General features: G+C 32.6%; 1 protein-coding gene across 31 annotated transcripts in view; it reads right to left on the bottom strand.

The window, feature by feature from the left end:
- NAV3 (neuron navigator 3) overlaps positions 1-13853 on the bottom strand; it is a 641149-nt gene that overhangs the window by 59076 nt on the left and 568220 nt on the right. For all 31 annotated transcript variants that reach the window (XM_017020166.3, XM_047429817.1, XM_047429823.1 and 28 more), the window contains 3 exons: positions 13601-13653; positions 7543-7566; positions 5016-5093 (listed from right to left, as the gene is read on the bottom strand). In XM_017020166.3, coding sequence (XP_016875655.1) covers positions 5016-5093; positions 7543-7566; positions 13601-13653 — 155 coding nt within the window. The remainder of the gene's footprint in view (positions 1-5015; positions 5094-7542; positions 7567-13600; positions 13654-13853) is intronic.

The raw sequence follows: 13853 nt of genomic DNA, 5'->3' as shown, positions 1-13853 counted from the left end.
AAAGTTTCACATTTCTTTTCCACTACAAAAAATTGTCCAAACACTGAAGTGTTTCTCATTAATAATATGCACCAATTGTTTTCTCTTAGAAGAGATGCAAAAAAGCAAGAGTAACTAGCAAATTTTATGAAAATATTAAATAAGCAAAGAAGTAGAACACAATCTCAAAATACCCAAGAGATTTTTGGTTAAAAGACTTATCTGCTGAAAGGCAAAAAGGACCTTTTGTTTTCTTACACATTCATTCAGTAATGTCTTTAAAAATGTTAGTAATAACTAGCCTTGTGTCCATTTCCAAATTATGTAATGGCTGAGATTTGTAAAGAAAATACGTTAAAAGACAAACAAAAGCATCCCACCTGACCCAGCTGCCTTAAGGTGTGGGCGAGAGGCCAGAGGCTATCTGGCTTATTGTTTGCTATTACCATTTATTTAGTTCTGCCTTTCCTTGTGCGGCTTCTGTTTTCTGTTTGTTGGTGAGTTATTGATCAGAAACGCCAGGCAATAGGACCTGCCAATATAACCGCTCTCCTTTCTAAGGACATGCTAGTAGAATCAGCTTAACACTTTACCTGTGGTTTTATGCAGCTCTGTTCAGAACAACTTTACAAAAGGGAGGGAAGGCTTAACACACATTCTACTGAACAAGGGCTTTACTCTGCCAGTCAAATGAGAGGTGAGCTAACTAGAGACTCTCTTGACTTACCATACCCCATTTGGGCAAAGGGAAAGAAATGCATTTTAACAGAGACATAGATGCATTTCAAATTTAAAAATTAAAATACAAGTTATTGTTTAGAGTCCATATAAATGTAATTATGCCAAGTTTAAATATGCGATATACCAATTAATATATAAAAAACACCCCAAATAAAGGAAAAGCACGTAAGCTATGAGAGTACATGTCACATACTGAGTAAAGATGAATATCTGATACTTAAAAATGTTGTTAAAACCAACAGATTATTTCTTAGAACCAAACTCATTGAAATTCATCCCTATAAATTATAGCTATTAGAGTTCTAATATAACAATTTCTCACTGTGGGGGCTGCACTCACATTTAACCAAAAGGTAGAAAGTTTACTTGTACTGTGAACAAACTAGTAAACAAAGACTTACTTTTACTTTCAAATGGGAACTGTAGATTTAAAAAATCCTTGATTATATTTAAAATATCCTATAAATAAGTAATTTTACCAAGTCCCTATAATCAATTTAAGTACATGCATGTTAAAAATATGTGTATATTACATACATTAACAGATATTAATTCAGATGAAATGAAACATTCTGAATGAAATTTAAACACAGCACTTCTTACAACTGAGGAAAAATCAAGTATTAACTAAATTATTTGATGGCTGATTATGATGCATGAAATCTAAAATGACATTATAAAGCAAACACAAAGAAAATGAATGAGTTCAAAATGACTTGTAATTAATAGGTGACTTGAGAGTAATTCAAATTCCTGGATATGTAAAAATGATTATTTCCTTAAGAACAAAAATGTTCAGATATATACAAAATTTTACCCCCATAGTTATAACAATATTATTAAAATGTTTAAAATATAACTGACATTAAAATTGTTTAATAGTCATTTATATACATATCTATTTATATAAATTCCCAGATACTGCATTAGTCTAAAAGAGAATTTTAATAAACTTTTTTTTAAAAGTAGATGTTAATGCATATCTTCATTACCTGTACCTTTTGACTGTCATTCAATTTGTACATTTTTACAATGTAAATTATTTTTCTATTTTTAGTCAGTAAATGTATTTGATGGTAAGAAGCTTTGATAGTCCCTATCACTACCAAATAAAGAAACACTAAAGAGAGGATTAAGGTTGAAACTCCTGGGAAATTAAAAGCAAGATTTTTTTTCAAAAGAACTGTCGTAGATCTTTAGGTGATTTATATTTTAGTTTGAAACTAAAATACCACAAATAAAGGAAAAGCATGTTACGTTATGATAGAACACTTCATATACTGAGTAAAGATCAGTATCTGATACTTAAAATATTATTTTATACATTTTAATACATTATATATTTTATAATTATATACACAAGAAGTTGCAAAGATAGTACAGGGAGGTCCCTTGTATCCTTCATCCAGTTTCCCCCAATGATTATATATCTTATAAAATTATATTATATATCAAAGCCAGGAATACAATATTGATTTACATTAATAGATTGACATATGTGGATTCATGTGATGGCCATCTCATTCAAAATACAAAACTAAAGATCTCCCTCTTCCTATAGTCACACTACCTCTCTCTCTCCTTCATCCTTAGCCCTTAGCAATCACTAATCTGTTCTCTGTTTCTTTAATTTTGCCATTTCTGGAATGTTATATAAATGGAATTATACAAAATTTGACCTTCTATAACTGTCTTTTTTCACTCAGCATAATACCCCTGGGATCCACCCAAGTTGATGCACGTATCAATAGTCATTTCTTTATATTGCTGAGTAGTAGTCCATGATATAGATGTATCAGAATTTGTTTATTAACTGGCCTATTAAGGGATATTTTTGGTTGTTTCCTTTCTTTGGCTATTAAAAAATAAAGCTGCTATGTACAGGTTTTTGTGTGGATCTAATGTGATTTGAGAAGGTTTCTAAATTACATTATAAATTGTTTAAAGGAACATAAAACAGGATATATATCAGTCTCCCATCAGCGTGCAAAAGTTAATACTAATGATAACACATACAGCTGAGTGGAACCTAGAGCAATTTGGGCGTTTGTCTCCAAGACTAGCACTTTTTAAATTAACACAAAGACTAGCATGAATTATCTATTTGGCACTGCTGCTTCTAGTCTGTGTTCCTTATTTTTATTTTTTTTTAAATGATTGTTCCCCTAGGGAAACACTATAGATGTTTTCTTTTCCCTAATTGTGCTCTTCTTCGTGATATTTTAAAGCCACAGATATGCTGGATGTTCAGTTATGTATTATCTGCATATCTGTGCTTTTCACATAAAAAGAGTACTTAAAAAAATGCAAGAACCTGTTTTCACCCTTTGTTGGTCATATTAACACCCAGCTGAGAATTCATGCCCTAAAGTCATGAAAACACATCAGTGAAAATAGTGTGACAAGCATAATTAGAGCAGACGAGGTGGGTAGCCAACTGCAGGAACCTTTCTAAAATTATATCTCCATTTTCAAACAGCAGCACAGAGTTCACTCCGAAGATTATTCCCCTATGTTAGAATTTGGTTCCGTATGTGTGTGTATGTGTGTGTGTGTGTGTGTGTGTGTGTGTGTGTGTGTGTGAGGAAGCTTTTGCACGTGTGTATTAAGTATATATACACATTAGCATATAATAGAAAAATGTTGAAATGGTACACAAGAAACCAATAATCATGAGTAAGAATGAGATTCTCAGAGAAAAAAAAACAAAAACAAAAACAAAAAAATGTGAAATACCATTTTAGTTTTTTCTTTTGAAGACAATAAGCATCATTACATTTCAAATGGAAAGTATCAGCCCATCTTCCACTATGTCTAGCAGCCATTTATTATTCCAATATCTGAATTATATGATGAGCTCAACCAAGGGACATTAAAAATAAAATGAAACCCTGAGTAATCATTCAAGACATCTGCAAGTATCCTGACAATCTAATAAATAAGGTTTGCCATTGAGCCTTTCTTATTGCAGATAAACACAACCCAGGAGGTTCTGACATTTACATTATTCTACTTCCTCTGGGTACAAATTCAGGAACCTAGACAACAATATTTCATACTTCTATACATGTAGCCTATATTATAAAATTTACGGTTGCCTCTGGACTATCTCTTTAAAAACACAACAAGGTTAAATAATACCCTTATTTTCTCATATTGCTTAAACAATTATCTAAAAACTGCTATTATTTTCAGGAATCTCCTAACACCATCTATTAAAAATAAATAGAATAAATCCAAAATTAATTCTCCCAAATTTCAGAAAATAAAATCAATTCAAATACAGTGCTAAAATGAATACATCGTGAATGAAATGATACACATACTCAGAATTTATATTGCACAATGATAGCTTAAAAAAAATTTAAAAATGGCTCTTATTCAAGTCTTACACTGTGGGTCTGCACCTGCTCACTCTTGACATATCATGCTTTGTCTAGGAGATAGAAAAACTCAGTAGAGGAGCAGCGGGAGGGGTGGGGAGGCACAGAGCAGGCCCAAAGCTATGCAGCAGAACTGAGCAAAGGACTGTTGAGTGAGAGAGGTAAGACATATGGCAAAATAGCAGGCATTTCCTTACCCCTCACTGCTGTTCTTAACACCATTGCTCCTCAGGACTGGGAACAGTGCCACATTTCTCCTTTATCATTCTGCATCTACTCTGAGTGCTCCCTGACACAGTGGAAGATATTCAGTAAATGTTAATTTAATTGACGGTCTTCATTGTCATCATTTCTGCCATCCTGGGCTGCTCTGGTGCCAGTAAAAGTGTACCCTTTTAAATTGCTATGAGAAGGCTGCCAAGGTTTTTTGAGCAAACCATATCTCATCCACAGTGCAGCTAAGCTATCCCTATTTAGACCTAATTTCATATTTTAGAATTAACTGGATGCTTAACAAATTGTTCAATACATTGAGATGAAGGAGGCTGGGCACAGGAATATTTTATCTTCCAAAGTCAAACACTAACAACCCCTCTTACATTGTCAGAGAATCTTATGCAAGAGGAGTAATAAAAATAGCAAACAAGAAAAGAAGTAACCCATATGGCTGTTACTATTGTTTCCAATCTTATTAGAAACAACAAGCCATTTTAACCATATTGCTGCCTCTCATCAGTTTGGATTTACATTTTATTACTGAGTAGGCAAAAAATGTTAACTTTTTATGAGTCCTGCTAGTTGGTAATCTAAGTCTGTATCAGGCACTGAAAATTTGTAAGTTTGTTACTAAAATGATTTCATTTTCCTCTATAAAAATTTGTTGTAATATATTTTAAAAATGAAGTGACTTACATTTGCTGAAAGCTGAGATGTGAGGGTAGCAACTTTTTCTTGTGATGCAACCAGCTCTCTCCGCAGTTTATGGATTTGCTGAATGCAATTAAAAAAATCAATGGAATAGGCAAGTAGATTTTTACTTAAAACCCAGAATTCAAACCAAGAAAGCAAATGCTGTATTTAGCTCATTCTAACCCCATTGTATCAGCAGCAACTCCTGAAAATAAAGGATATGAACACTGACTCCACAGTAACAAGCAAATGTCATTCAAAAGCAAAGTGTTATGTGTCAAACTCTAATCTACAAATCAAAGTACGCTCACTTGCTCCATTTGCCATCCCTCAAATGGCAAATGACTCAAGAGCAGTTTACCCTCTGTATTGATTCTTCTCCTTCTAGAAAAACTGTGGTAATAAAACTGTAGAAAAATATTTTCTTTATAAAAACTGTATATACACACATATTTTTCTTGTTCTTTTTTAGTAAAAGATACTCCATGTTCTTTTTCAGAAAATCTTAGGTTTTTTTTTCCTCTGTACATTTTAATTTCTCATAGTTTGAAAACTTCTCAAAGGCTATGGAATATCCTGCAATCACTAAAACTTGGGCTTAATTCAACATTTAATCAGTTCACATTTAAATTGTTATTGGCTGGAGTTTCAATGACTGCAGAGAAGCCTTCCCAAATCTGTATTATCAAGACCTTTATTTAGTGAGTTATTATTAGCTCAGAGATGCTTTATAGCTTATCCACATCTTAAAAATCAGGGGAAAAAACCAATGATAGGTGCAACTAATTAGATAAACCAATATAATGTATATTCTAAGGTATCTTTCTTTTTAGTTAAGTTCACACTCCAATAAAACTGAAACAGAAAAGGGTAAGGATATATTATATCATGTTTAAAGTTTTAATTCAAGCACTTTCTGCAGTTTGTTCTGCAAGTCTCATGTTGTGACTAATAAGGATAGAACATTTATAACAATCTGACACTAGGTTCTATAAGTATATATCTAGTCTCAAGGGATTTCAGTTACTTGGATGTTAAACATTCTACTTTTGATGCTTCTCATTTCTTCAAAAACAAATCTTATCTATAGTTGTAGTTGAACTTTTGGAATGCTGTCTCAGTTTGAAAGAGAATTCTTGACATAGTTTATTAACTGTCTAGTTTTTGCCCCGGGCATTAGATTTTGTTGAAAATAAATGGTGGTCAACTCAAACACTCTAACAAAGTAGAGAACTCTAAGCTGGAAACAGTAGACACTTATATAATTTCACCAAATGTGATTCTACTTCGTTCCTGTTTTTTTTTTTTTTCCGGAACAGATACACCCCAGTCTAAAATAACATTTGCTTTACATTTATAAGATAATGACTATGAATGATTTCAGAAAATACAGCGTCTATTTTATTCATAAATGAATCCAAACTCAAAGAGCATTTCTCAAATTAAATAGTCTCTATTACATGATTCCAGTATCTTTAAAATATAATCCAGGAAACTGTAAAGTGATTGAAATTGTTTTTTTAAACCATAACTCATGATACAGCATCAATGATAAAAGGGGAGTTGAATAACTACTACTAAGGCAAATAGATGTAGCATTTCGATGCTTCAGTAGCTATACTATGATCAGTGTTAGAAGCTTTGTCATGTCCATGTGATGTAAATAAAACCACTTTGATTTTTAAAAATCATATCCACTCTTTGGTTCAGAGATTATAAAGACAAATTGGTTTAATCAATAATTTTCAAATATTTTTAAACATAGCACAAATTTTATTTTTAAAGGCTAATAAAATAAGACTTCAAAGGAAAGGAATACTTTTGCAAAAGCTGTTGTTAAGGCATTTTTTTTCTCTGTTGTCTGATTGCCTCAGTGTAAACCAATCAAACAGCCATTACCTCACCTTGAATAAAGTCATAATTAAAGTCCTCCTGCTCTCTTTGACCAGGACAAATGTTTTACCAAGGGAAATTAAAATAGTATTCTTTCCTGAATGCAGTTTGATTTGCTCACGAGTGCAACCAAATATGTATTTGTGAAATATGTGATTAGAACAATAGGTGACACACCACACATAAAATGGCAGTTAGAGGCAACAAGATAATGACACAAAACAGATAGTCTGAGATGCTAGTATCCTGTGTTGTGGAGGCTTGGTGCCCAAGTTTCAACCATTATCCTGTGTAGATGGTCTTACAGGGAGTGGGAAAAAGACTGTAATAAAATAGGAAGACCATAGACCTTCATTTATCAATGACTTAATGAGTGCTTACTATTATAGAAAACTTATTAGGTGTTGAGCTAAGACTCAATCTAGAATGTGAAAGGACAGCTTGCTATACAAACTTCCTTTCATTTTATTTTTAAGAGGCAATATCAAAGACCATTTATCAATTAGCTGCCTTACTTCAGCAGTCCTGTGGAGTTCTGCTATTGTATCACAGAGCCCTCTAGTGGTCACAAGACTAATTTCATCATGAATGCAAACTAAAATAGAAAATATTAAAATATTGCATATTTTTTTTTTACCTCTGAATGAGCCTTTTCTTCAGCCTGTAAAACAATAAAAAGAAAGACTTTAACTATAAAAACTATTTTCAATTAATTCCACAAGTATAAATGAATACAATAATCATGATGTACTTTTTATTATCTACTATGAGAAGAATAGAATGAAATACATTAAGTTATTCAATTGAAATAGTACAAGCAAGTTACTTTAGAATTTTATATAAATGTTTCTTAATATATAAACCATAAGGTATTCTTAAAATATAGGTCATTTGATCCATAATATTCCTTTAAGCAAAAGACAGAATTAAAAGACTCTAAGATGTAAATCATAAGCAACATAAACCAAATAGTTATAAAATTATACTCTAAAAAAGATGGGTGCATGTAAACTTAAAATATTGAAGTATCTTTCATACAGATTGTAGGAAACAGACTCCATAAAATTATAGAGACCTCTAGCCAAGGTTTAGATGTCAGAATTTTATTCTGTGATTTACTGATCACAAACAATGTCAAATAAAGCTGGGGTAACATACAGACCTCTACTGATAACCACAGATAATTAACATTATTTACTTCTACTTTTTCTTTCTTTAATGATTATTAATAATTTTAATTATCACAAGTCAGCAAAACGCTTAAACAATGAAAACACTGAAACACCCAGTGATAAAAGTGTCTGGCAAACATTTTTGGCTATGCAGCTTATGGAAAGGAGGACTGCCATAGGAATTTGCAGGGTGTTTTTGACTTGACTTCCAGAAAACTCCTAGCTCTGTTTTTCTTCTTCATGCTGGGCTGCAAAATGCCAGAAAATGAGTTATGTGCACCATTGCATTTGGGAAGCTCCCTTATTCTGGGAAAAGCTGAAGAATGCATAATGTTGTTGAATAGTACAAGTCTGCTTATTGCCATAAGCAGATCCAAAGCTGAAAAACAATCTCTCGTTTTCTATGTCTACTTTTGGTATAGTTCTAGATTAATTGACACAAAACTACCTGAACTGTTTTTTACTGCTTTTCTTTCAGAAAACATAAAGCAAAGTAGTCTAACCATCAGGATATATTTTATTTGCCAGAAACTCTTTTAACCTGAGCTTTGTCTTCCCTATATTTTCACTACCTTTAAAAATATGTAAACTTAGTAATATAGTGGCTAAATAATAAAGTGGCTAAGTGGTAGAATCCTAATAGCCTTTATAAGAAAACTGTTTTAAAAAGCACTCTTGAATAATTTACATCTCAATTTTAGATTTTTAAGGAAAGATTTTATTTTTTAGATCCTAATAATTTTAAGGTTTTATACACAGTTTGGTTTTTGAATAAAAAGTAAGCAAGGAATATTAAGATAAAAGTTTCATTGCCTTAAAACATATGGCACAATTAACTATGTAACTATGTCTATTAGTTTTCCCTAGTACTTTGCTTTTGTTTTTGTTGTTGTTTTTCTTTCTTTCTTTCTTTTTTTTTTTTTTTTTTTTTTTTTTTTTTTTTTTGAGACAGGATCTTGATCTATCACTCAGGTGCACTGCGCATTCACAACTCACTGTAGCCCACCGTGCCCGGCCTACTTTTTACATTTTTTGCCAGTTTATCCTGCCCAATTCTGCTTCTAGGCTTCCTAGAATTATAGAAAGCTGGTAAAGATTCAAGAATCAATAAATAATTCATGTATTTTTAAATAATAATTTATTCTTTTAAAAAATAATCAAGAAATATACTCACCGCATTTTTGTTAATCTATAATAGTCCTGTTACATATACTAGTAGCAAGCATAATCATTAAATATCTATTATATACATACCGTATAGCATGACTTTTTTCACTACCAATTTTTCAAAACTATTATTTGCTTTAACCTTTGCCTTCTTTCGTACTCTGTGGTTATTAATACCAGGTGGGTGTTACCATAAAAATAAAGCAATGAGCCAGAATATTAATATATTTTTTTCAGTAGCTTAGGTGTGGGATTAATGATATCATGATGGAACTGGATTATTTGCCATTTTTTTTTTAACAATGGTTTTGAGCAAGCCCAATGTCCTGGAGATGATAAAAAATATGAAACACTTGACTGAATAAAAATGTTTTTATTTATTCTATAAGCCAATAAGTGGCCATTTATCCATTCAAATTTATTAATTAAAAAGTTATGACGTTAGTATTAGCTATTTGTTAGGCAACATGTTAAACAATCCACAATGAATCAAAAATGACACTTGCTCTCATGAAAAAATACAATTTAGAATTCAAATTCAAAACAGGTTAAATATAGTTTTTAATATACAGTTAATCAAAAAACATCTATTGCAGGGATCAAAAATTTAAATGCCTAACAGGACAAGGCTAATAAAGAATAAATGGACTTGAAGTATTTAAATAGTCACATGATCTTCCTTGGCTGTCTTTCATTTTCCCATTTGACAGCAATATAAATAGCAAAGGGTATTTCTTTCCCATGAGGAAAGCAACAGCACAATGAAAACTAGCCACCCAAATTTAGCTTCAGTGTCAGGAAGAAAAGCATTGGTGGAGGCTGTGGCTTCCTGAGAGCCCATGCCAACATCTAAAGGTGTCAATTACAGGTGACTGAAAACCCAGAGGAATTTCATCTTAGTATTGCTAGATATTCCATAGATATTCCAATTATTTTTAAAAGGAATTTAAAATTTTGAATTTTTAGGTAGAAGCTCCATATTTCACAATATTTCACAGTGTTGGCTTAGATTCCCTCTCCCTCTCCCTCCCCTCTCCCTCTTTTCCTTTTTTTTTTTTTTTTTTCTGAGACAGTGTTTGGCTTTGTCGCCCAGGCTGGAGTGCAGTGGCGCTCACTGCAGCAGCCTCAGCCTCCCAGGTTCAGGCGATTCTCCTGCCTCAGCCTCCCAAATAGCTGGGATTACAGACGTATGCCACTACACCGGGCTAATTTCTGTATTTTTAGTAGAGACGGGGTTTTGCCATGTTGGCCAGGCTGGTCTCGAACTCCTGACCTCAAGTGATCCACCCGCCTCAGCCTCCCAAAGTGTTGAGATTACCGGCATGAGCCACCGCGCTTGGCCTTAGATTTCAAAACAAACACAAAAACCATAAGTTTGCCAAAGGTAACACCTCTGCAGATCAGGTTAGGCTTGTGATTTCCAACCACTTTGCAGACATCCGGAGACAAATGGGTTAGATCTAGCTAATATTTTCAAATTTTATTTTATAGGTATAGTCCAAAGAAATTTGGCAACTTGCCTGATGTCACGCGATAATTTCTTGATTGAACCAGGCAAAAATGCAAATCAACTAAATCTCTATTGAGAGTTATTAAGAAGGCATGAAAAATAATAAGTTGCTTTTTCATGTGATAGTTTAAAAAGCATTTTCATAGGTATTTTCTCATTGCCAATTAAATCCTAAGGCCTGATCATGGCGGACTGGGGAAAGAATGACTCCTCATGTTTTATGATTTTTCTCTTAAGTAGTTCCCCAAATATTCATTTATTTGAATTATTTTACTACAGTTTACTTTTCAATTCAAATATATCATTTTCATCATCTCAAATACAACTTTCAATTTTCTAATAATATCACCTTCTCATGTGGCTCGATCACCTAATCCATTCTTTACTCACTTAACACTAGGATATACCCTACCTCCATATATTGGCCTATAAATATATATATACACACACACACACATATATATGTATATATATACACATACATATGTATATATATACACATATATATGTATATATATACATACTCTATTTTAATCTGTGTTCCCATTTCATATTCTACTCTTAAAACAATATTTCTCATGTATGCTTTCTAATTATCCTCATCATTTTGACATCCCACTCCTATCTACAAATGTACCCCTTGTGTTCTCTATAAACTTGCACTATCCAATCTAGTAGCTGCTAGGCACATGTGGCTATTTCAATGTAAATTAATTAAAATAAAAAAGTCAATTCATCTCTTTGCCAGATATACTTCAAATAATCAATGGCAACATATGGTTCATAGTTACTATATTAGATAGTGTAGATACAGAACACTTTTATTAACACAGAAAGGTCTACTGGACACTGGTAGACTAGTAATCTGTTTTTTCTTAAACTCATGATCCTTTTCTTGAGGAATAAATTTTTCAAAAAAATCTTTAATATTGGGATACACAATAGTTGTATGTATTTATGGGGTGCATGTGGTATTATACAAACATATGCTGTGTAACGATCAAATCTAGGAAAGTGGAATATCCCATTCTTCATTTAGGAAGAATATCATTTCTTCCTGTTAGGAACATTCCAAATCTTCTTTTCTAGCTATTTTGAAATGTACAATAAATTATTGTTAACTATAGTCACTCTATTGTGCTACCAATCACTAGACCTTATTTCTTCTATCTAAGTGTATTTTTCTTTCTTTCTTTCTTTTTAATTTAGTTTTTCTTAGGTTTCATGAAGGTAGCTTTATCCAAATATTAATTATTGTATGTATTTAGAATAATAATGATGCTACATCTTTTGATGTTACACATAGATGTAAATGGCAATGGTTTAAATCAGAATACAATTCCCCAACAAATGGCAGTGCTGGCCCAACAGGAGGAACACTAAGTCTTAATATATTTCTTTTATGTGTTTTTTTCATGTGTGTTTACACATTCCTCACTTTATCCATTTGCACAAAAAGTACATTTACCTAAAAACTAATCGTGATTTCTTAATTTCTAGAAGCTATGGGTAATTTTAATCATTGAAAGGAGAGATTAGAAAAATATTACCTCTGCCAATAACAGTCAGATTTTGAATGACTATGTAAGGCAGTAAATATATGAGATTAATCTATAAAGAGAAGGTTCAAACAAACATTTGAACCTAATGATAATGAGTGAAAAAAATACTGCCCATGATGCTCAGTTGATCAGTGACAGCAGAGGCTATGAACTCTTCATGAACCTTACAGTACAGGATTAAGGCTTATTCATAGTACTCAAGTCCCATTGAGATTCAGTAGGCTGCTTTTAAATATACCTCACTGTTAACCTAGCTCTAAAAAGACTCACTCATAAAATATAACTTCCTGTAGGCTACTTTTTTAAAAAAGATAGAATTGTATTTACCAAACAGAAAAACTCTCCTTGTCAAAAATGAATTATAATGTCACACGTTTGCAAAAGAACTTGAAACACTGGTATTTTTCTCTTAATAAATAAAGTTTCTATCTAAGTGTGCTGGCTTACACCTGTAATCCCAGCACTTGGGGAGGCTAAAGCAGGAGGAATTGCTTGAAGCCATGGGTATTGATCAGTCTGGTCAATATAGCAATGACCTTGTCTCTAAAACAATTTAAAAATTAGCTGGGCATGGTGGTGCATGCCTGTAGTCCTAGCTGCTTGACAGGCTGAGGCAGAAGGATAACTTGAGCCCAGGAGTTCAAGGTTGCAGTGAGCTATGATTGTGTCATTGTACTCCAGCCTGGGTGACAAAGCAAGACCTCGACTCAAAAATAAATAAATAAATAAATAAAATAAAATAAAAATAAAAGTTAAAAAAATCACACTCTTTCAAAAGGTATATTTAAAAAAAAACATCTCTGGTTCTTTTATGCTTTTACCCTTTACCCTTACTGCTTTTACCCTTCGATAATCCTCTCAACAATAAACTTAAAAATAAAAAATGAGAAGAAAATACTATAGAACAATTAACAGTCACGGCTCAAAGAACAAAACATGGACAACTCGTCATTACTAAAATGATAGTATAGCAGACTACATACATGGTTTCAGAGACTCCAAGTCATACCTCAGTAGGTTTTATGAAATCGAATTCTACATCCACTCATTGATTATGATGAGTGCACAAAAGCCAAGTGAAAGCACATGTAAGTGACCAAAGAATGGCAGGTGGAGCACCTGGCACTTTATTGGGTATTGGGCAGCTTAGAGTATGCCGTTATTTTGCTACACAACTCCTGTGCAAGTCATAGATGAATGTGATCTGTTCACAGTAAAATGATCTATTTCATCATCTGTGTGCATGGCAAAAGCACAAGCTTTTTCTTAACAGCCATTACTTACTGTAGAGTAAAGAGAAGAAGTGCTGGACACCAGTGATAATGAAGAGCCATGAACTGGAGAAAACAAACAGAACAATAGAGTTAAAACAATAAGGTCTACTCAAAAATTCCAGCCTTTACAGAAAAAGTAAAGAACGGGTGGTTAGGGAAATTAAGTAATAACAACTAACTATAAGATTCTGAGAACCAGCCTGCTATAATTTTTTGGCAGTCAGGACGTTGAGACATGGAAGAGCCCCATCCATACTCCCTAA

The sequence above is a fragment of the Homo sapiens genome, chromosome 12 (assembly GCF_000001405.40).
Source record: "Homo sapiens chromosome 12, GRCh38.p14 Primary Assembly".
NCBI lineage: Eukaryota > Metazoa > Chordata > Mammalia > Primates > Hominidae > Homo > Homo sapiens.
Note: the sequence above shows the minus strand (reverse complement) of the source record. Positions and strands in the feature narration are given on the sequence as shown.